Source organism: Homo sapiens, chromosome 16 (genome assembly GCF_000001405.40).
Source record: "Homo sapiens chromosome 16, GRCh38.p14 Primary Assembly".
Taxonomy (NCBI): Eukaryota; Metazoa; Chordata; class Mammalia; order Primates; family Hominidae; genus Homo; species Homo sapiens.
Window position 1 is genome coordinate 86,501,925 of NC_000016.10, and position 22,960 is coordinate 86,524,884.

Below are 22,960 nucleotides of genomic sequence, written 5' to 3' on the forward strand. Positions count from 1 at the left end.
GGCTCTGGCCACCCCAAACCCCACTTCTTCCTCAGGGTACTTCCCTGCAGCCAACCAAGGAAATCCATCCATGTGAATGGAATCTGTGTATGCGTGTGCTTGTATTGTGCGCTCTCTGTGTGTGCATTTGTGTGTTCTCTGTGTGTGCGTGTGTGTGCATTTGTGTGTCCTGTGTGTGTTCTGTGTGTGCCTGTGTGTGTATTTGTTTTCTGTGTGTATTTGTGTGCTCTGTCTGTGTGAGGTGTGTGTGTGCACGTGTTGTGTGTATGTGCCTGTGCATGTGTGTGTGTTGCTGCCTCCCTGCACGTCTTTGCCTTCCATCCACACCTCCCTCACTGTGCTGAGTCCCCGATTCTCCCACAATCTTTGTATATGTCTCTTGGGGCCTCGCCCCTGTCCCTGAGCCTCTAGATTCTCTGAATTCTGATGAGGGAATATCCTCGGTCTCTCTCTGGGGTGGGCCGGGGTTCCTCTGTCTCCCTGTGCCTCTGTTCTGCGTGCACCCCACCTGGCTCCCACCCTGAACTTTTCTTCTTTACTGACTTGCCAGGGGCTGTGTTACCTTTGCCCACGCCAGGCACGCAGGATCTGGCTCTCCAATCGATTTTGCAAAACAAACAAACAAAACAGGCCGGTGGGTCTGTGCATGTCTGCACACGTCCAAGTGTAAATCCTTCAAGGGGTTCCTGGAGTGGCTGAACTACAACCCGGCTGGGACAAAAAGGACCCAAACTAGCCTTGGAGGAGGGTGTGAGACGAGGGAGGCGCGTTCATTTTCTCAGGGAACCCTGGATTGTGGGCAACATCTTTGAGCCAGTAAAGCCCCTTCCTCCCTTCCCAAGCCTGGCATCACTTGGTTGAGTGGATTTTGTTTTCTCCCTTAAAACAAAATAAAACAAAACAAAAACTTGTTTGCATCATTTTCAACATCCTCTAAGCGGGAATAAACAGGGCATTACAAGTCATAAATGGAGACCAATGGGCACATGTTGAGTGTCCACATTAGCAGGTTTCTGGGAGCAAATTGCTACCTTTGATTAAGAAACAAACCTGAACGCGTTCCCCTTTCACCTCTGTTTCCATGCTCCCCATCTCCAGGGGTCTCCCTGGCTTCTGATTCCCTCTTCCCTGTGGGGTGAACATGCACGCCTATCGCACCTCTCTCTTTCAAATCGGAAACTACACAACACCTGCCCACTGAAATTTAATTTGTTTTCCTTTTGGTTGGTCTTTTAGAAACCTATTCACATTCCCATCTCTTTTCTCTTTGTTGCCTTGCTCCCTCCCGGTCTCAGAAGGACTTATAATTCCACAGAGAGCAACTGAGTCACAGGCCCGCTCCCTGTCTTTCTCTGCTGCCCCTTTTTGGCATCAATTTCCTTTAATGTGGACACTTTGCTCAGAAACAAATTCTGGGAGCCCCTTCAACACCCCCCCCACAACTTACATGCCCCATACGCACACATTCATGCTGTAAGGGAAATAGTATCACCATCTTTCCGGGCAGAACTGTCCATGCAGCAGAGATTAAAAATCTATCGGGATGCTTCAGGCACTGCCCCTGTGGGAAGACAGAGCTGCAGATGGGCCGGGCGTCCAGCAAGGGAGCGCCGGGAAGCTCACTGTCTCAGGCGCTTTCTGTTTCTGAGAGCCACGTGTACTGCAGATGCAAGAAATCTTCTGAAAATCTCACCGGGAAGAGGGCTGGAGATTCCTGGGCTGCAATGTTGTCAAATACTTCCTTGAAGAACATCATGGAAAATGCGTACATTTGGGTAAAAGGGCCGGTGGAAGGGGTGAGCTCGGGCTGCGGCAGCACATGCACCAGACTTTTTTCTTTTACATTTTTCCTTTTATTTTCTTTTTTCCTTTTATTTTCTTTTCCTTTCTTTTTATCCTTTTTCTTTTTTTTTTCTTTTATTTTTTCCTTTTTTTTTTTTCATGACCAAACTAATGAACGTCTCTATATTGTTCAGCTAAGAGGAGATTCACTGCCAGGGTCTGGGACCAGGGATCGCCCTCGTCACAGCTGCTCCCCGAAGTTGGCCTTGATGGTCCCCACAGGTGGGCTCCCAGTCCCATCTGTGCTAAGTGGGTGTGACAGGGCTGGGTAGACCAGCGCGTGCCACCTTTCTCTCCTCCTCACCTTGTGGTACCTTCATGAAGAGTCTGGGGAGGAGCCCAGAGCCTGGCTTGCTACTTGCTCCTGACTGAGTACCTTGGTTTGAGATTGATCAGGCAGCAGCAGGCACAAGTGAAGACAGCACCCCTAATATGTGTGGCTTGGGTCAGGAGCTCTCCTGATAGTGCCATTGCCCCCAGACACTGGGGGACCCCGGGATTTGGGGCCTCTTCTGCTGCAGGTTCCGCAGGTGTCGCCTGAGCCGGCGTCTTCCCTCTGCCCACTGCAGATAGGTGGCTCCGTGCCCTGGGCACACAGCCTCTCACAGGCCCACTGGGAACCCAACACACCTGTCCCCGCATCTCCACACCACACCAAGAGCTGCCACCACACCCCTCACAGAGCCACAAAGCCGGTAAATGTCACTCGATGGCTACAAAAATAAAGTCAGAGCGTCATTTCGCTTCCCTGGCACCTGAGATCAAAAGAGAATCAGCATTACAGTGGGATTTTGTGAGCTGGTGATGACCTTGAGGCGCCTAGCCAGGGCACAGGCAGGGTTCCGAAACCGATTTCTGTGTGGTCACTGCATTATTGCCTTCTTACTATGACTGCGTGTCAAGCGGCGTGGAAACCTTGGGACAGTCTTCCCTTCGCATAGCCGTGCGCTACTGTACACACATGGCCTGACGCTTGGGCGGAGAGAGTACTGGTCACCACGTGGACCCTGTCCTTGCAACGTGCTGTAGCCAGAATTCATTTTGCATCCACCGGTCTCCCACGGAGTTCTGTTTCCTCAGGCACTGCACTGTATACAACTCTAAATGCACCCTGCATGGAACCCATTGCAGGGCACACGCAGTCTACATGTATCCCAGGTTTTATGCTCACAGAGCCTGCAATACTCCGTGTCTGGAATACGTTATTTGCTGCACACCTCCCAGAGGAACATGTAACGTCTGTGTAACATGCTATCCTGCACACATCTGAAAGAATCTGTGTACACAACACTATTATGCTGTGCACACATTTCCTCATATTCTGTGTAGAGAGCACCTCATTTTGTACTCAAATATTCGGCTTCCATAACAAGTTACATTGCTCACATCTTAAAATATTCATTACACGTGAAACCACCGCATGGTACCGACATCCTTCTGGAATGTCCCGCACAGAGGCTGATATATGTGCACAGTTCTCACTGTTCTGCGTGCCCAGCCCCTCACACTGGACGCCCACCTCACACTCTTCTGCCAAGGGAGACTTTGGTTCTCCCCTTCCCTGTGCTGGCTGTGCGGGCCACAGTCCTCTGCACGCCAGCAGCATGACGCGTGCACACTTAGAGCGTGCGAGAAGTATCTCAGGTATCCGTACACAGATCTTCTTATAATCCACCCGCTGGGCTTGATATTTCCCCACAGTCCCCTAGTCCCCAGGGCTGCACTTTCACCCACAAATATCCCTCCCGCGCTCCTCCGGCAGCCGTGAAGTTTCGTTTCCCCCGGCCGGGTCCTCCTTCCCTCCCTTCCGAAGCCCCGAGGACAGGCCGCTTCCCTCCCGCCCAGCTCCCGCGTCGGGTCCTGGCTGGCCGCCCTACCTTGAGGCGTCGTTTGAACCTCGCCTCGCGGGGGGTTGGAGGGAGCGGGGGCGGGCGAGGAGGGCGCGGGCCCGGCGTTAATGCGGAGCGGGGGCGGCGGCGGCCGGCGGGGCGGCTGCCCTCGCGGTGGGTGGTCGGCGGCCCCCTGCCCCGCCCGCGCGGCCGGCCTGGGCTCCCTCGGAGCGGGATCTGGTTCCCCGCTCGGGTTACGGCGCGCTCTCGGCCCGGGCGGCTTCGCTTAAGCAATTAGCTAGTAAAAATACCTTGGGCCTGGGGAGTGGGAGACGTTGCAGTCGTGTCCGTTTTTACACACCCACCCCCGCCCTGCTCGGCCAGTTTCAGGATTCCTGGGGCCAGAGATGGGGCGCAGATTTGTTTTGGGGTGGGAGGGGGCCGGTCTTCATGGATTTTAATCCAAGAGCAAAAGGCTGCCCGCGATCTCTGTCCCTGTCTGCATTTTCTCCTCCATCCCTGGAGCTGAGCCCCTGGGGTTTTTGTTTCTGTTTGTACAACCTAAGCCTTCCCTGCATGGTCTTGTCCAACCCTCTGTACGACCCCAAGAAATAGGAACCATGATGAGTTCCATTTTTCAGATAAAGAAACTAAGGTGCAAAGAGCTTATGCATCATCCTTACATGGTGGGGCGAGTTCAAATCCCCCTGCCTTTGGGGTTCGCGGCAGCGGGGCCCCTCTGCCCTGAGCACCGCTGAGCCTCACCCCGTGGTCAGGACACTTAACGCCCTGGTTCTGCAATCAGGCCAGGTTTGGATACTGGCTTTGCAGGGTGACCCAGGACCTGGAGTGACCTCGCAGAGCTCCAACTGTGAATGAGGAGGGAAATTATACTGACTTGGTAGGGGCATCGGTGAATATTACACAAGTCTCTTAGGGACACTTAACCAGTGTCCTGAGTTCATGGTTGGTGCCTCACAGGTTCACAGATGGGCTCCAGACATTTGGCGAAACCTTCAAAATCATTCTACGAATGTCACAAATATGCACCTTCTGGGGGCGGGGGCAGGTCGGACTAATTTTCAAAGGATTGACAGCCAAGAGGAAGGTTAGGAGCAGACAAGGGCAGTTCATCGAGTGAGGAGCAGCGCCTGGTGCCTGGGCAGCAGTGGATGAGCCTGTTATTATCTAGTATTCGTAGTTGTCATTGCTATTTTATCACCATCAGTTCCCCAACGGGGGCTCTCTGTCCCCTTGGCCCTGGGAAGCCAGGGCTGTGTAATGATGGCAGAGGCATTTCTAAGCCCCATTCTCTCCACTCCCCGCCTACACAGAGGCACATGGGAGAGTGAAACGCCAGGAAATTTTGTCCTTGGACGTAGAGAGGGGAGATGGAGAGTGTTCACCTCTCAGTGCTGGCTGATAAGAGATTCAAGTCCATGCTGAGCCTCAGTTTCTCCACCCTAAAAATGTAGGATCAAGGGAGACCTCTCAGGGACATTGTAAGAGCTGAGAATGAAGTCTCTGAGCATGAAGGAAAGCCCTTCTTGCTACGGCTGTGGTTTTCCCCAGAATTCAGGGGGTCCCCTCCAAATTACAGAGCTGGGAGCTCATTCGCCTCCTCTCTCACGCCCCCACTTCTACACACACCCAGCAGTAGAGATGAGCAGTTGGGGAGAGCCTCCATCTTTGGCCTTCCTGAGACTCCCAGGCCTACTGGGCCGGCTCTTTCGCTGGGCTCCGTGACTGGCTGTTCTGTAAGGTCTGGTTTGCTATCAGAGCCGGTGAAAGGGCAGAAAGAAGGGTGGAAAGGAGGGAAAAATGGATCTCCGGGTTAGCCAACGATGGGACCTGCGGCTTCCCTTCCCCAACTGAAGAGGGCCCAGGAGTGAAGGAGTCTGCTGGGAAAGGGCTCCCCAACTTCATGCTCTAGGGACCCGCTCACTTTGAAGGCGCCCCATGAGTGGGGGAGGGGCGAGGGGAAGGGAGATGCTATTTCCACTTTCAGCGAGCCGCAGCGTGCGCCCTGCACCCCTAGCTGGCTTAAGAGCTGTGCAGCCTTCTCTGCTCACCTCTGCTAAGGGCCAGATGTGCTCTGGCAGTCGGCAGTAGCGACCCCTTCCTGGGAACAGAACTTTCCTCCGGAGGCCAGGGTCTCCTCATCTGCAACTGCCATTTGCCACACACACACACACAAAAGTTGGGAGAGAATGTGAGAATGCTTGTGTTCGTGGACGCGTGCGCACGTATGGAGCGGCGGTACCTATGATTATTTGCGCGTGGCGCCTGGCTATGCGTGGGCGAACGCGCAGTGGAGAACATGTGGGCGTGCATGAAGTGTGCACTTAAACCAAAGTGTGCCCTCCCCGTTGGGCAGGCCTGTGTGTTGGTCCAAGGGTTGGGAGCGCCTGAGCTGTGTGAGGGTCGCTGGGAAGGGTGTTTGAGGCCGTGGGCGGTGCGGAGCGTGTCTGTGTGCGCGGAGGCTGAGCTGGTTGTGTGAAGTGGTAGCGGGTCTGCCAGAGAGCGTTTACCTGCGTGAATGCACAACCACACACTACGGGTCACGTCCCACACTCATTCTTTCCCTAGGCGGGCCAGGCTGTCTGCACGCGGAGACCCAGAGAGGCCAGCGGAAGGGCAGCGCGGGAAGGCGGCTCTCTTCTCCCGCGAGCGCAGATCTGGCGGAGGAGGCGGCGACTGCCCGGCAGGCTGCGCCGGCGAGCCCCCCAGCTCCTCTCACCGACGTGCCAGGCGCCCCGAAGGCGACAGGCGTCTCCCGCCGAAAATGAAGGCGTCCGAGCCAGGAAGGTGGGGGCGGGTAGTTAGCGGGAGACAAGGAGTCCGGAGAAAACCGAGAGGCGGGTAGGCTTTGAACGCGCCGCGCCGCGGGCCGTGCTGCGAGCCCGGCACACGCCTCTCGCCCCAGCTCGCGCTGGGGCTTGGCCTCTAGGCTCTTCGCGATGACCCGCGAAAACACCCCTCGCCCCCCTCTTCTCAACTCGGAACCCTGGAGGGAGAGGCCGCGCCCGGCCAGCAGTCGCTGCGAGAGCAGCACTCACCTGGGTCTGTGCGCGCCGCGATGCGCCGGGGCTCCTGCGCTGTCCTGCGCTCCGCTCTCGGCACCACCTTTCGTGGCTCCACCGCCCCCAGCCCGCACCCGAGCGCTGAGGTGGCAAGGGCAGGTCTGCGTGCGAGCCCCCTGCGGGCTGGCAGCCAGGTGCGCGAGGGCCGCCCTTGCCGGCGCTCCCAGCCCGCGCTGTCTGCTCTCAGGAACCTGGCCTGGCGCGCAGTGTCAGAGGCCCCGCGGCGGCGGCAGGCCGAGCCCACAGGGGCATTAGGCCAACTCCCCCCTCCCGCCCTGCGCACGCGGAATTCTCTATTATTATTATTAAAGAATCCCCCAGAACTTGTTTACGTTAAACCCTGTAAACTTCCTGCCAGGGCCTTTGCCATCTCTCGGGAAATCGGAACCTGCGCTTTGAAAACGGGGCCGCGGGGCCAAATAGGCGGGTTTTCAGTGTGTGTTGGGGGTGGGGGAGGGCAACTGAACTACGTGTGAGTTCAGATCCGAGCGTGGCGTGTGTACGCGTGAGTGGGAGTGAGTGCGAACTTAAGCTCCTGTGGGCCTTAAGCTTCCGTGTCAACGAGTGCATTAGTGGGTGCGCACATGCCTGAGCGCCCTCTGCATATGAGTGTGCACACACGCATGGGTGTGTTTACACGTCTGTTTGCGTAATTTACCGGGTTTGCATGTGCATCAAGACATGTATGTGTGTGCTAATGTGTGGACAAGAGCGCGAGGGTGTGCGCGCACGGGTGAGTGACTGAGCACGCCGCTTATTCAGGGGCCTGTGCGGTCTGGGTCGCCTCTGGGCCAGCGGGTTCTCACTCGCCCCCGTCAGGCCCGCGGCGCCCGAGACAAAGCGGCCGCGACTCGTGCTGCGCTTTCGTTTTCCGCCTGCGCTCTGCCCCGGCGGCTGCCCGCCCGCTCGCAAGCTGCTGGGCGAGTCCGAAAAATCCCGGGAGCGGCGCAGTTCTTCCCGGGGCGGGGAGAGTGGGTAGGCGGTCCCTCGCGGGAACTTAGCCGGCCGGCCGCGAGGACCGGAGTCGAGCCGGCTGTGCCTGCGATGGTCACGACCGGGAGGCCGCCGCACTTGCGATTTGCTACAGGGCTGTGCGCGTCGGGGAAGGCCCCGGCCCAGGGAGCGTTTCCCGCCGCGCCGCCCGGGCGGGGAAGGCGGGGTCCAGCGCGCACCGGGGCTGAACCGCGGGCGGAGGGCGCATTAACACTTGCTCGCCAGGTTGGTGGAGGCGGGGCGGATTCTGCTGGCGGCCGCGGGGCGGCGAGAGTGGGGGCTCTTTAAGCGCCCACCAACGCGGGGGCCCGAGGGGGGCAGGGACGGAGGGAGGGAACTCCGGGAGGGTCTTAGGCCGACCCGCGAGACGCAGCCGAGCGGAGATGGAGTGAAGGCTGCCTCGCCCGGAATCTCGGAGCCGAGCGCCGCGGGCGGCGGGGACTCAGGGCTGCTCCCGGCTGGGGCGCACGGCCGTAAGACCTGGAGGTGGTGCCTCCCCCCAAAAAATACCGGCGGGGGTAGCTTCCTCACGGCCTTCGCCCGGGCTGCCCTCGGCCTCAGCTCGGCTCCTTTCCTTGTGGGAGGGCGAGAAAGAAAGAGGGAGGAGAGAGGTGGGGGAGGCGGGAGTTGGAGAGAGAGGGGCTCTGAGCCAACCGCCGGCGGATCCAGCAGCTCCTCGGGGAGGGCGGGCGGGAGCGCGGGGGCGGGCGCGCCGCGGCTCGCTCGGGAGAAGTGGCCGCCGATGACGGCAGAGGTGCAGCCAGCCCCGCGCGCGCAGCCCCCTCCCCTTCGCCCTCCTCCCCCCCGTCGTCCTCTTCCTCCTCCTCCTCCTCCTCCTCCCGGCCCGTCCGCGGCGCAGAGCAGCGGCGGCAGCGGCGGCGGCGGCAGCAGCCACCCGATGTCTTCGGCGCCCGAGAAGCAGCAGCCACCGCACGGCGGCGGCGGCGGCGGCGGCGGGGGAGGCGGCGCGGCCATGGACCCCGCGTCGTCCGGCCCGTCCAAGGCCAAGAAGACCAACGCCGGCATCCGGCGCCCGGAGAAGCCGCCCTATTCCTACATCGCGCTCATCGTCATGGCCATCCAGAGTTCACCCACCAAGCGCCTGACGCTGAGCGAGATCTACCAGTTCCTGCAGAGCCGCTTCCCCTTCTTCCGGGGCTCCTACCAGGGCTGGAAGAACTCCGTGCGCCACAACCTCTCGCTCAACGAGTGCTTCATCAAGCTACCCAAGGGCCTTGGGCGGCCCGGCAAGGGCCACTACTGGACCATCGACCCGGCCAGCGAGTTCATGTTCGAGGAGGGCTCCTTTCGGCGGCGGCCGCGCGGCTTCCGAAGGAAATGCCAGGCGCTCAAGCCCATGTACAGCATGATGAACGGGCTCGGCTTCAACCACCTCCCGGACACCTACGGCTTCCAGGGCTCGGCCGGCGGCCTCTCGTGCCCGCCCAACAGCCTGGCGCTGGAGGGCGGCCTGGGCATGATGAACGGCCACTTGCCGGGCAACGTGGACGGCATGGCCCTGCCCAGCCACTCGGTGCCCCACCTGCCTTCCAACGGCGGCCACTCGTACATGGGCGGCTGCGGCGGCGCGGCGGCCGGCGAGTACCCGCACCACGACAGCTCGGTGCCCGCCTCCCCGCTGCTGCCCACCGGCGCCGGTGGGGTCATGGAGCCGCACGCCGTCTACTCGGGCTCGGCGGCGGCCTGGCCGCCCTCGGCGTCCGCGGCGCTCAACAGCGGCGCCTCTTATATCAAGCAGCAGCCCCTGTCCCCCTGTAACCCCGCGGCCAACCCCCTGTCCGGCAGCCTCTCCACGCACTCCCTGGAGCAGCCGTATCTGCACCAGAACAGCCACAACGCCCCAGCCGAGCTGCAAGGTGAGTGGGGAGGCCGAGGGCGCCCTGGTCCCCGGGAAGTCGAGTCTGAGTGGCAGCGGGACCCAGCTGGGGCGAGCCCCTCCACTTCTGTGGTCGGAACCCCAAGGCTGAGGGGAGGCACCAGCTCCCCAAGGTGTCTCTTGGCCCCACCTCTCCCCCTTCGAAGAGTGACTACCGCTCTTGACCCTAGTTTGGGCCAATCTGTTTCTCTTTCTGTTCGAACTCCAGCTGCCAGCTGCTCCAGGCCTGACCAGGTAGGCTGGTCCTGAGCCAGATGTCCCAGACCCCAGTGCCCTAAGTCCTTTTGTGTCCCTTAAGTCCCCTCACAGCTTGGAAAGATCCTGGGATGGACCCAAGGCTCCCAGCGCTGGCCAGATGGCTGTCCCTCCCTGGTGGTGGCCCTCAGGCTGCCTGGAGGGCTGCCTCTGCCTGGGGCTGGGCGGAACGGAAGGTGTTAGGCCCAAAGCCGCTGGGCCAGCGCTCAGAGGCTCAGCCCCGGCCTTTCAGGGGACCAGACCTGGCAGACCCACAGCTGAGTCCAGGGGCATTTTGTGGTGACTGAGGCAGGAGGGTGCCGTGGCCAGGCCCCGGAGGGTCAGAGCTGCAGACCGGGCCATGGGGGCTCCTTGTTTTTTAGGATCCAAGTTTTCAGGTCCCCACACCCCCAACACCCCTGATACCCCAATACCCCGAACATGCAGAAGCATCTGCCAAGGGAGATGCAGCAGCCTCGCCTCCTGATTCTGCCCCAGGCCCCCCGCAGCCTGCAGGCCCAGCTCTGGAAAAAGCTGGAGTGAGCTTGCCAGGGCCAGTCCAGGGTCAGCTGTCAGCAGCCCCAGGAGGCAGGAGCCAGGCCTGGAGGCCTTAGGCAGCCTCTCTGCGGGGGACTCCCCGGCTCCGGGGCCTGTTCTCTGGAGAAGCTTCTTCTCACCCCTGCTGCTGGCCCGGCGCTGGCCCTGCACTGGCCTCTCCTTCAACCCCGCCGGCAGTCGTAGCCTCTGAGGTTGGGGGTGGTGGTGGCTGCCCTGGCGGTGACGGCCATGGGCGTTAGGGGCCCTCCACTTGGTCTCCCTCACCACTTCCCCTATGGCTCTGGAAGCCCTGGGCCCCTGCACGGTGTCCGAGGCTGGACAGGCACGCAGCAGGCAGGCAGGCAGGCAGGCAGGCAGGCCGTGGCAAGTGTTCTGGAGTCTTTTCCTTGGGTGCGCAGCTGGAAGGCCGGGACTCGGGGAGGAGAGCGGGGAGGCGGCCGTGCTCTGGAGCCAGGCTGACAGGCCCTGTGCGCCCCACGGGAGCACTGCTCCTCTGCCTGAACTCTGAGCCACCGTGGCTAACTCTTCTGCTCCCCCAACCCCTCCTGTCGCCTCGCCTTGCAGGCATCCCGCGGTATCACTCGCAGTCGCCCAGCATGTGTGACCGAAAGGAGTTTGTCTTCTCTTTCAACGCCATGGCGTCCTCTTCCATGCACTCGGCCGGCGGGGGCTCCTACTACCACCAGCAGGTCACCTACCAAGACATCAAGCCTTGCGTGATGTGAGGCTGCCGCCGCAGGCCCTCCTGGTGCAGGCAGGCGGGTCACAGGGACCCTGGACCGGCACAAGAAACTGCTTTCTTCTCGAGGTATAACCGTCGGCAGAAGAAAAGGGTTCCACCTCTCCCCAACCGGAGTTTTTGGCAAGGAGTCCCCAATGCAAAGACACAGCGCTGCGGTTGGCACCTCCTTCCTCACTCCTTCAAAATTGTTAAGAAATGTTAGTGGTGGGTCTGATCTGACTGCAGCCATCGGTAAATAAAAGTTTTTGATCCTGTTGAACCCGCCTGAGACGGTGCTGTGCAGGGGAAAGCCCCCGCACCCACACAGGAATTCTGCTGAGGTCCCCCCTCCTTCCGGCCAATGGCAGAAGTGGGGGAAAATTTTTAGAAGAAAAGCAAACATGTGAGACCAATCATTATCAAATACTTTTATTTTTTGGTTGAGTATTTATCTTTTTATTTTTTATTTTTTTTTTGAAAGAATGTCTTGGAATGCGCAAGTCTCCCTTTAGAGCCGTCTTTTGCAGGGAGCGGGAAGTGACAAGAGCTCAGATCTCCCTCCCGATCTCCCTCCCCACCTCCGAAGTCTCCTCCGTGGACCACAGGTGGATCTTTGTGCGAACAACTTGCATTTCGGAAGCCACTGTCCGTCTTTAAACAGAAAGTCAAAGGAGCCACGAAGCAAGCGGCCGTCCGGGCGTCCGCCTCCGTCCCCTTCCATGTTCCTCCTCTTCCTTCGCTTCAGCCTCTTCTGTTATGTTTTGTCTTGAATTTTATTTAGACTTTTTCAGTGGGTATTTTTCTGTCTCCCAACCTCTACTGTAAACTTTCTGGTCCGAGAACGAGCCGAACACAGCGCGACGCAGGGACTAGGACGGCCCGGTGACCGCGCGGATTCAGGATTGCGGGGACGCAGAAAGGTTAAGGCACTTTTAAAAACTATAGCAAGGCTCCTGTTTATTTATTCTACTTTCTTTCCCTAATAATCAAAACACCGCGTAGGCTCCTCCGTTTATCAGTATTAATGGTGTAACTTTGTTGGCAATATTTGCCGTGTAGAATTTTTTTTAGATATCCATTGTAAATTTGAAACAAAGACCGATCTGTGTAAAAACAAATTTCCATATGTTTTATATAAATATATATATAATATGAAGGACTACCCTCCTTTTTTTTTTTTGTATTTTGGCTGCTAGAGTGCAGCATTTGTGACACGTATTTGAAATTTGAAATTTCCTTCTGCACTGTATAAAAGGACCATTTGAGGATGTTTTGCCTTTTGTGTATTTTTTCCTAAAAAAAGAACAAAAATAAAAATGTATAACATTTGTACATGGCCTTTAAAATTGTATCAACTAGAAATAAAATTGCATGAGTATTTTATTGGGACTGAGATTGTAGAATACCTTCCAGACTCCCAAAGATAGAGGGGGGAAAAAAGAAAAAACAGGCTTTGGATCTCTAGACGCTTAAAAATTTACAATCTGGGTGATTCTGAGTACTTTTTTCTTTTTTGGCAAATCCTCCTCTTTTCACTCTTCATTCCACTTTGAAGTAAACGCTGGACAAGAGGAACTATTTTTCTTGGCTTCTGTTTTTTAAGAAGAGCCCTTTGCCCCTCTAAATGTCATTGATCGTTTTAAAGAAATAAACTTTTAAAGAACACTATAGACCTCCTTCCCCTAGGGAACACCAATTAAACCATATATGTGCACATACATATGGATATACATATATATGTATATACATATATGTACATATATGTATACGTGTCCATGTACATAATATATATTTTTTTGCCACTACAAGACCAATGAGAGTTTTACTTTGGGTTTCCGACTTTCTTGTTCTCTTGCTGTAGCTGTTATAAATCGTGAATCAACTTTAAGGTTTTTTTGTAGTTGTTGGTTTGTCTTGTTTTGTTTTGGCTTTTTGGTGCCTTGTTCTTGGTTTTCCCCGATAGAAAATCAAGCAAAATCTAAATGAGGCAAAAGGGCGCTTGGTGGGCCAGGTGACAGGCACCTTTCCAATCCTGTAACATTTATCTCCTAAGTCACAGTTCGTCCTCTCTGGGGGAAAAATATTTTTTAACACTTGTACCTTCCACTGACCACCCTCTTTCTATTCCAGTTCCCGGCTACCGAGAAAAACAAACACAGTAAGTCACATTGTTGGTGCGGTCCTTCCAGACCCACCGCAGTGTCTTGCGTCGTGGGGTCGTGAGTCTCTGAACCTGGTTCTTCTCAGAGTTGACATTTTGGACGTGGGGGTAATTTCTCCGGTGCTCTGTTACATCAAAATTATCAATAAACTCGCCTGGGCAATTAGTGTCCCCAACTAACAGCTGTCTATAAAATCGAGATAAAGGGGACAGGAAAAGGCCGGCGACTCCATCCCTTGGGGTCTCCGGGGGGCCGAAGCGTCAGGCCAGGCTCTGCCGGGCGCACGCGCCTGGCCCTGCGCTCCGAGAGCAGGTTCGCAGCAGGCGGAGAAGGCGGTCCTCCTGGGGCGAAGGGTCTTCTCTGCACTCTCCGCCTCCCACCAGAGCCCGGAAAACCAGTCCTGAGAAGAGCCCCCAGGCCTCCTAGCGCGGGAACGCTGCGCTCGCGTCCGGTCAGCCTCTGCAGGCCAGAGGAGCCGGGAGCCCCTCCTCTCTCCCGCAGAGGCTGCGGCCCAGTTAGGGCAGAGGCTCCGGGGAAGAGGGGCTGATTAGGAGAAACCCAACTGCGCGCTCCCAGGTTTTCTTCTGCGGAGTCTCCAGCCCCTGCACCCACTCACTTGGCGCCCTGGCTGGCCAGAGGCCCCCGTGCGCCGTGGTTGCGCGTGGCTTTGGCGCCGCTGGACTAGCGTCCAGGGCGGCGGCAAAGCCCGGTTTCCTGTTCATCTCCTTGCCTTCGCTTCAGCGGGATCTCCCAGCGCACCCATGTCCAGGTCTAGCGGGGCGGGAGGCACCCAGGGGGGCTTGTGCAGGAAAACCGGTCCGGATTGCCCGAGGACGGTGACCGGCCTCGGTCTTCCGGCCTGACTTGCGGCCTGGGAATGAGAGGGAAAGTCCAGCCTTCCCGCAAGGAGATCCTGGCTCCAGGCAAGCCCGGAAGGGCCAGATAACGCAGCGAAACGGCCTCTGCGCCCGCGTCCGAGATTTCGCGCTGCCGCTGCTGCAGCGCCGAGACTGCGCTCGGCTGGGCTGTGTCTTCCTCGGGGTCCATTGCGTCCTGGGCTCGCACAGGGGTCGCGAGTGAAGCTCCCACGGCTGCGGGACGCCGCAAAAGCGCGCCCAGCATGTGCAAGTCACAAGCTTAAAACGCAAAGGGCTCCTGAGTCTGGTGCGAAATTATGCGCCCTGCGTGCATGAAGGACCCCTAGGATCAGCTAACACAGAGGCGTCCTAGGTAGAATTAATTCATAATCGCTCCGATTATCTTAGGGGTTTTTGTCCTGGAATAACGTAGAATTAATTCACAATGTCTTCATCTATTTTAAGGATTTTGCGCTGGAACAGGGAAGTCAAGATGCCCCTTGACATGAAATCCTCCCTGTAATAAAGCCCCGGAGCAGGGGCAGGAGCTGCTTGGAGCAGGAGCTGCTTGGAGCAGGGCTTCTGCGTGTGGATTACACATCAGCGGACGCCGCGGTTCTCCGCGCGGGGCCGACGCCTTGGACGCACCCGAGCCTCAGCGGGTTTCTAGTTGCAGCCCCGGGCAGCAGAAGCGCCTGGGCGCGGCCTCCGAGCTCCTCAGCCCCAGGCAAGGGGGACTTCGCCGCCTGGAGCTCACCCCCAGGGCCCGTCCAGGCCAGCAGCGCCAGTCGCCCGGCCGGAAGGCGCCTGGGGTGTGGGCTTCTGATGGGAAGGCGCCTGGGCCACAGAGGTGTGCTCTTTCTGTTCTCTTTTCTCTTTGGGGCTCGAGGGGGTTGGTGGCCACAAAGGCATGGCTCCAGACCTTCCAGCCACCCACCAGCAGGCAGCTTTCGCTCAAAGGAGCTCAAAAGGAGCTGGGGTTCCTCCTCTGCGGCCACCCCAGCCCGAGCAAGACAAGTCACCTCTGAGCCTTGGTTTCCTCATCTCTAATAGTACAGTCCTGGTGGAGCTTTTGGGGGCCGTGGTTAATGAGGCAGATGCTTCTAAGGAGTAAAGGGGTGGCCTGGTTCCTTGGTACCCAGACAGGAGTGGCCAAGTCAGACCTGGCTTTTCTCGCCGCGACATTTAGTGGGGCCAGTGTGGAGTGGTGGTGGTGTGTGTGTCTCGTGGGGGGTGTGGGAACCATAAGAGGTACAAATATCCATATTTTACGAGGCCCTCTGCTCAGGGACTTCTGATCCCAGTGTGGGGACAGCTAAATTCCCATCTTCACAGACTTTCCCTCCCTTCCCAGGGATAAGGAAGATGGCTCACATAGCTGGAGAGAGACTTTTCACAGTGGGTTAGGGCTTGGGATGCCAACATACACCAGCCACCAGAATCTCCCCCAACCTCACTGACCCCTCCTAGGCATCCGAGTCCTGCGGATGACCCCATGGGGAAGTGGGAGATCAGAAGCCCCCTGAGCCCAGTGGCTTCACCTCTGATGGTAACTATCAGAGTCCAGCCTCATCAGAAATATTTGGGGTGTCAGTTTAAACAGCAGATTCGAGGGGTCCCTGACAGCTATTGGTTAGAATCTCTGGAGGGGAGACCCAGCAGTCCACGGTGTTCAAGGATAAGCTGGGTGGTCCTGGGTGAGCGCTAGTTTGGGTCTGTTCTCCCACGCTGGTCAAGGCTGCTCTGAGCGGCCTCTGCTGCCCCCTCCTGCCCGCCTGCTGGATCAGGCCCACGTGTCTGTAGCAGCAGCTGGTTGAGAGAACTTGGAGGCCAGGCAAACAAGCACCACGGCCACATTTGCAGGCATACCATGTGAACGCCGGGCCGGGGCAGGCCTTCTTCCCACATGGGCATCCCAGTCCACCCCAGCTCACCCTCGCTTGCTCCTGCCCCAGCTCTGTCCTTGTTACTCTGCTTGTTTCGGGGGCAGAACCTGAGCTCAGGGAGGGTCACTGACTGCTCCCGACATGATCGGTAAGATGTGGAATTTGGACTCAGACCCAGTACTTTCTGACCCTGAATCCTGTGTCACTTGCCACTACACCGCAAGGCTCCTGGACACCCGTTTGCCTCCATCCACAGGGCCTAGTGGTAAAAGGAAAGTTGACGTGGGATCCATGATCTAGCCTCTGCTGGCTTCCGGCCTCCAGAGGAGAGCTGGCAATGGGCAGGACCACAGAGAGTCGGGGTCTCCAAACACATGCTCTCAGACCCCCTCTTACCTTCCAGCTGAGCTAGGAGGGCGCTTGCAGGTGGGGCGGGAGCTGGCCTAGCAGCCAGCGCAGCTCAGACCCTGACCTTTACCCCCTCTCAGGGTTCCAAGTGTGATTCACGGGTTCCACCATGGCCTGCCATGGAAGCTTCCTTTGCTTCCTGGGGTCCCCTTAGACCAGCTGAGAAAAACTTCAGATGAAAGTGGGTGCTCAGACGCGGCTGCCTGCACAGCACTGTGGCCACCTCCACACTCTATGGAAACTTCTGGGCACCAGTACGTCAGAGTTCTGGGCTCTGTGTTAAGGAGGAAGGCCCTTTTCCGGCGTCTTCTGCAGCTGAGCCCAGGGGCAGTGTCCTGGGCCATGTGGCCAGCAGGGTGGGACAACAAGGGACGGGGTCGCATCCATCCATGAAGGGACGCTGACTTGTTGTGGGGCCGAGAGGAATCCCAGGCCTTTGACAATTCTGTCTTCGTGTGCTTTGGGGGTGCGCAGGGGCAGAGGAACGCCTGCTGTCTGCAAGCATAAAACATCGTGGGAGTTGGGGGTCTCTGAGCTGATTCTGGCTGGAAGGCTGTCCAATTTGCAAACTGTTCATTGCTCAATTAAACTCTTAAAATAAAACATTGTCAGCATGAAATGACAGATGGACAGAGGGGAACCGTCGTGGAACTATCCGCTCCACACGGGGCCCTGGCTACGTGTCCACCACTGCACTAGACTAGATTTGCGACGGACATGTTGATGCACACCTGTTGTCACAGACGGACCGCCCAGTGCCGTGTTGTCCCAGCCCAGTGGCAAGGGAGCAAGGGTGTGGTGGTCGCACAGCAACTGGCATTGAGGTGGGAAGGTGTGCGGTCCCCATTGGAGTAGATGCCCAGGCCATGCACTACCCAGCAGCTGAATACACAGGGCCATGTCCTGCAGTACCATCCAGCTGCTTCCAGCATCAGGACACCTGGGGTCATGTGGACACTCTGAAGCAACAACGACAGCAAGGGCAGGATGACCACAAATGTCCTTAGCAGAGGGAGAAAGCTGCCCAGATGCAGTGTCTACATGGTCCCTATGGTGGTCTTTCTCCCATCCCACAGTGCAGGATGTTTGCTGGGGACACAACCAAGAGGAAGCCTGGCAGAGCAGGGGCGGAGGGTCGCTGGGACCAGGTGCAGGCATCCTCTCTGACTTATTTTGGACAATGTTCTATGCCTGTGGGGTGGCAGCCTAGGGAGGAGCAGTGCCACACGCAGGGCCCTTGAGAGTGCTGTAGTGCTGTGACCAGCCGCCGCAGGCATTTTATGGAAACTGCCGCCAGCACTCCAGGGAGCAGGCACGGACGCCGGGTTCCCCCCACCCCGTGTTCCCCGGCAGGTCTGGGGTCTGGGCCACGGGGAAGCGTGCTGAGTCTGCAAATGTCCCTGGAAGAGGAGAGCAACATTTCCGTTCCGGACACTTCCCCCCAAACAGGCTGTGATCTATTAGTGCATGGCGTTTCTGTGAGGCAGGAAGCACTGGCCAACCCTGGCTTTCTGCTGTGACTCCTCGGCAGGGTCGCCAGCCTGACTGAGCAGAGAGGACTGCGCCGCCTCTGTCCAGGTGCGGGAGGTGGGCCAGCAAAGTGGGCAGGGCAAGGGGAGGCAGCCAGGGGAGGCTGGGCGAGGCCACAGCAAATGTAGGTCATGAGGACAGGAGGGACAGGAGGGCAGCTGTCCCGGCTCACTTCCCAGGGGCCTTCGCTGCGATGCCCGCCCCAGGGAGAGAGCTCAGGGTCAGGAAACCTCTTGGGAAACAAGAGGACCCAGGACACCAGGGTCCTTCCTGCGGGGCAGCCTCTGACCCACCCTGGGGATTTCCCGCTCGGCTGTTTCTCTACACGGCGGCAGCGCCACCTGCTGTCCACTTCGTGCAGATGCTATTGGGCCCTTAAAATCCGTCCCATCAGGAAAATTGATCTTCCCCAGGATGGGCAGCCGCGGATGCGAGGAATGAACCTGATTGCTCTATTTCAGACCCTTTGACCTTTGTCAAGGCGTAGCTGGCTTTTTATTTTATTTTATTTGGTCGGGGGTCAGTTAATGCAGTGTTTTTCTAATTACACAAATGACGTGGCTTATTCCAAATAAAAAAAAAAAAACTTTAGAAAAGTGAAACGAAGAAAGTAAAAATGACTTCCAACCCCATTCCTGAGTGAGGCAGCTGTGCTCCGTTGGCCACAGGAGACATCTCCCTGCACCCTCAGGGACCCCGCCGTTCTAGGAGGAGCAGATAAGGGATGTAGCGGGTCAGAGCACGGGAGTCACAGGGCCTGGGTTCGAGTCCCGACTCCCTCTCTTCTCAACTTCGTGAGCCTGCACAGGTGTCTCTCTTCTGCTCACCTCGGCTTCCCCATCGTTACAGTGGGGATGATGGTAAGAGTAGGGCTCCCATAGCATTGCTGTGAGGCTTAAATAAATAATAACCTGTGAAAGGCTTACAGTGAATAAACCAGGCACAGAGAGGGCAAGCACTTAGAGGCCACACAGCCAGGACACGGTGCAAACCCTGGTGTGCCTGGCTCCAGCACGGCACTCTTCGACCATTAAATGGTCTCTCTGTTCCGACAAGCTGCGGTGGCTTCGTGACCCCTGAGGCCCTGCTTGTGGTCAAGAGATGAGCACGTGGTGTTTCTCCGGGGGACAGCCTTCTCCCGCCCAGCAGGGAGGGGCTTGACGCTGTGGCCGACTCTGCTATGAGACCGCAGGGAGTCACAGAGCCCTTCTGAGCCACATCTGTCTTATCTGGAAAAGGGAAACAGTAGTACACGCTTCCTGGGACTCTTCTAAGGCTTAAGTGAGCTAATTCACCCTGCAAGGTGGGTAGGGATGTTTAATTTGCTCACAATTCAGTACTCAGGGCCTGAGCTCATTGCTTCCAAACCATCCAGAGTGCAAAACGCGCAAACCGCATGGTCACACGTCAGCTCCATTCCGACCTCTGCGATTTATGGACATCAAAAAGAAAAGGTTCCATTCACATGAAGAAGTGCTGCCGTGTTCGCGGGAATGGGAGTGTGGGTTCCCTAAGCGTCTCTGCTTGCTTGAATAAGTGCCCAGATGGTCTCTGGTAAAAACACGGGATGATCACTGACATTGGCAAAGTCATGGGGACTTGCTGGGGCGGTGGGTGGCCGGGAGAGGGGGACAGAAGAGGGGCGCCCAGATCCCCCCAACCTGCGGCTCTGCAATGCACCAGGAAACAAGCCGCCAATACTCTATGCCCCAGTTTCTCCATCTACAAATGCAATCAAATATGGGGCTATTTCCAGCAACAGGACCAGGGTTGTGTGGGGCTGTCGCATGATGGGCTGGCCGCAGGTCACGGGGTGGTGATGTGCGGATCAGAGTTGAAGGGTTCAGTACGTGCAAGATAGGGACTCCTGCTGGCTTCTGTCGGAACAGCCCTGGGCCCCAACGCGCCTCTGCACTGTGCGCCGTGTGATCGGGTAGAAGCCCCCCACCGTTCCACAGGGCACTGCTTTTCTCTTCCAGGAAACACCTCTGGCTTTGTCTGCCTCTTCCTACCTCAGGTGGCAAGTAGGGGACAATCCCCAGCGAAGGAAGGTACAGTGGGATTGATGGCTCAACCTGTGGTCAGCTGTCGCTGCAATCGCGGCTTCACTCCCTGCCCACAGGGGCACGGTGGGCAAACTGACTCCTCTGCATTTCAGTAACCTCGGCTGTGAAATAGGAGGCCTCTCAAAAGTGACTGCAAGGACTACGGGAAATGATATAAATGTGTGCATCTATGTATATAGTTAATATTTCCTCTTTAATATATTTTATACATATACAGCATGTATTTTATAAATCTATAAAGGGAACGGGATGGAGGGAAGTGGGCTTAGCAAGCCTCGATTGGTTATTTTTGCTGGGGGGGAGGGGATGTGACAATTAAAATTTTGGAAACTGAGTCGGCTGCAAGCCAGGTGCTTCCTGGGGGCCTGCGGGACAGGGAGAGGATACTGCCCAGCCCTTCCCAGGAGGACAGGAAGAGGGGAGGGGAGGGAATCCTCATTTTTGCTCCTTTGGTAAAAAGGCAGAAAGCTTCACATCTCCTGTCCATATCAGCAGGTCTTGGGGCTGAACATGCTGCGGAAGGTACTTCGGATCAGCCAGCAAGAGCACAGGGATCATTACTGATGTCTGTGGTGGGTGCCAGAGGGGGGCCCATATGTTTACCCTAAATTTACCACCATTCCTACACCTGGTTACTGATTCCTGTTCTAAATGCTGTTCTCATCTGACATTTCATCCTCTCCACCATCACTTTGCTAAAATGTAACTCTTTGTGGTGGTCTCTGCACTGGCCCTTTCTTCGTAATTCTGTTCCACCGCTGTTCTCGGCCTTTCTGATTTCTCGGTGATTCTGTTCCGCCGCTGTTCTCGGCCTTTCTGATTTCTCGGTGATTCTGTTCCACCGCTGTTCTCGGCCTTTCTGATTTCTCGGTGATTCTGTTCCACAGCTGTTCTCGGCCTTTCTGATTTCTCAGTGATTCTGTTCCGCTGCTGTTCTCAGCCTTTCTGATTTCTCGGTGATGCTGTTCCACCGCTGTTCTCGGCCTTTCTGATTTGCTGTCTTGTGTCTCCATCCATTTCCTTCTCTACATGGGTATCTGGGGTGAGGTATGTCGGGATCACTGGCTGAGAGCTGGGCCGGGGGCAAAAATGCCCAGAGGACACTTCCTCTGAGTGCAGGGGGCAGCTTCTGCCAGAGCTGAGGGGCTGCAGTGGGTTGGGAGGACAGGCGCCAGTCTTGCCCATCTGGCTGGTTGAGAAAGAAGTAATGAAAGAGGCAGGCACAGCTCTGGGGGCAGAGAGACTGGGGCCCAAGTCTTGGCTTTACCCTGGCCTAGGTCTGGGACCCTGGCCCTAAGTCCCTTAGGCCTTCTGAGCGAAGCCTTTTCCTTTTGCCACAGTCACGGAATCCTTCTCCCAAGGCTGGGCAGGCCATGCCTGGGATGTGTGGCCCTGTGAGCAATAAGAATGGCAGAGGCAGCTGGGCACTGGCTTGGGGAGGTTACCTTTACTGGCTTAGCTCTGCCAAAACTGGCTGTGGGACCAGGCAGGGGGAAAGTCACTTCCTCCTTTGGGACCTCAGTCTTTTCACTGGCAAAACTGGGGAGAGGATTTTTCCTCCTTACAGAGTTGGGAGTGTGTGCCGGGGGCCGGCCCCCGGGGCAACCTGGGTGCTGATCCAACCTGTGCAGCCAGACTCAAGAACAGACACATTTGCCTGTGTAAGTGGAACACCAAGCCTTTGCCCTGTGCATTCTAGAAATTGCTTTTAGGAGTAGACAAATGTTATACAAGGTTTTTATCCTATTGTTCCAAAAATGATTTAATACTAAAAAAAAAAATTAAATTAAAAAAAATCACCTGTGCACAATGACAAGCCGGAGAAAAGAGCCCGTGGAAATCCCAGCGGTGCTTTAGTTAAGGGGGCGTGACGATTCTTCTGCTGCTGTCTTCTGGCCAGCCCACACTGCTGGCTTTTGGAGTCCCACTGCACCTTTGCCTGCCTGCGGTCATCCTGCAGCATGGAGGGAACCCTGTGCAAACATCAGTTTCAACAAACTGCAGAACTAGACTTGTCAAACACTTTGAATGAAGAGCAGAAGGTTTCCCAGGTGCTTCTTCCCGCACCCATCACTGCTCTTCTCTGTTATCTTACTGAAAAATAATTAGGAACTATTTACATCACTCAGACGTGACTTCACATAGAAACCATATGTGAAAAAACCCTGTGAATGTCAATACAGACTCCGGGAACGCCGGCACCTGTGTCACAGCCCTGCCGCTCAGCTGAGGGTGCAGAGCCATGGTAAGAACATGCCAGGGGCCAGCAGCCAGGTGAGTCCCATCTGTTTTCCTGAGCAGTGTGGTGGGATTGCAGGGAGGAGCTGAGAAAGGTGGGAGAGGAAAAGAGCCAGGGGTTGGGGCTTCATCTTGAAGCTGAGAATGCTTTTCCAGAAGTTAGAACTGGGCTCTCCTATGGACTTCTTCCTCCTTTTTAGTATTAATAGAAACAAGATGTGAATTGGGAGAGACACACGCTTTCATACCTTCTCAACTCACACTTGGGGAGCGCTGGGTTCACTGGCCGTATTTTTAAATGGCTGACGCTTAAAGGTGCTTTATCTGTTGTACCTGGCAGCATCAGAAAGGCTGACATGGGGCTGGCCGCATTGGTTTATGCCTGTAATCCCCGCACTTTGGGAGGCTGAGGCAGGTTTATCACTTGAGGTCAGGAGTTCGAGACCAGCCTGGCTAACATGGTGAAACCTCGTCTCTAATAAAAATACAAAAATGAGCCAGGCATGGTGGCATGCACCTGTAATCCCAACTACTCGGGAGGCTGAGGCAGGGGAATCACTTGAACCCGGGAGGCGGAGGTTGCAGTGAGCAGAGATTGTGCCACTGCACTCCAGCTTGAGTGACAGAGCGAGACTCCGTCTCAAAAACCAAAAAAA

General features: G+C 56.7%; 1 protein-coding gene and 1 long non-coding RNA gene across 3 annotated transcripts in view, besides 2 other annotated features; one reads left to right on the forward strand and one right to left on the reverse strand.

Moving 5' to 3' along the window:
* FENDRR (FOXF1 adjacent non-coding developmental regulatory RNA) overlaps positions 1-6,936 on the reverse strand; it is a 34,336-nt gene extending 27,400 nt beyond the window's left edge. For both annotated transcript variants that reach the window (NR_033925.1, NR_036444.1), the window contains exon 1: positions 6,731-6,936. This is a non-coding gene — a long non-coding RNA (FOXF1 adjacent non-coding developmental regulatory RNA). The remainder of the gene's footprint in view (positions 1-6,730) is intronic.
* FOXF1 (forkhead box F1) lies at positions 8,603-13,498 on the forward strand. The gene is made up of 2 exons (NM_001451.3): positions 8,603-9,624; positions 11,001-13,498. Exons 1-2 carry the CDS (start codon positions 8,646-8,648, stop codon positions 11,159-11,161), a joined length of 1,140 nt encoding a protein of 379 aa, NP_001442.2. The 5' UTR covers positions 8,603-8,645; the 3' UTR covers positions 11,162-13,498.
* Positions 10,096-10,862: an enhancer, noted in NCBI's record as "H3K27ac-H3K4me1 hESC enhancer chr16:86545626-86546392 (GRCh37/hg19 assembly coordinates)". NCBI's record gives its function as "activates a minimal SCP1, AML or CMV promoter by ChIP-STARR-seq in primed H9 embryonic stem cells {active_cell/tissue: H9 hESC(primed)}" and the evidence as "EXISTENCE:reporter gene assay evidence [ECO:0000049][PMID:30033119]".
* Positions 19,839-20,339: an enhancer, noted in NCBI's record as "H3K4me1 hESC enhancer chr16:86555369-86555869 (GRCh37/hg19 assembly coordinates)". NCBI's record gives its function as "activates a minimal SCP1, AML or CMV promoter by ChIP-STARR-seq in primed H9 embryonic stem cells {active_cell/tissue: H9 hESC(primed)}" and the evidence as "EXISTENCE:reporter gene assay evidence [ECO:0000049][PMID:30033119]".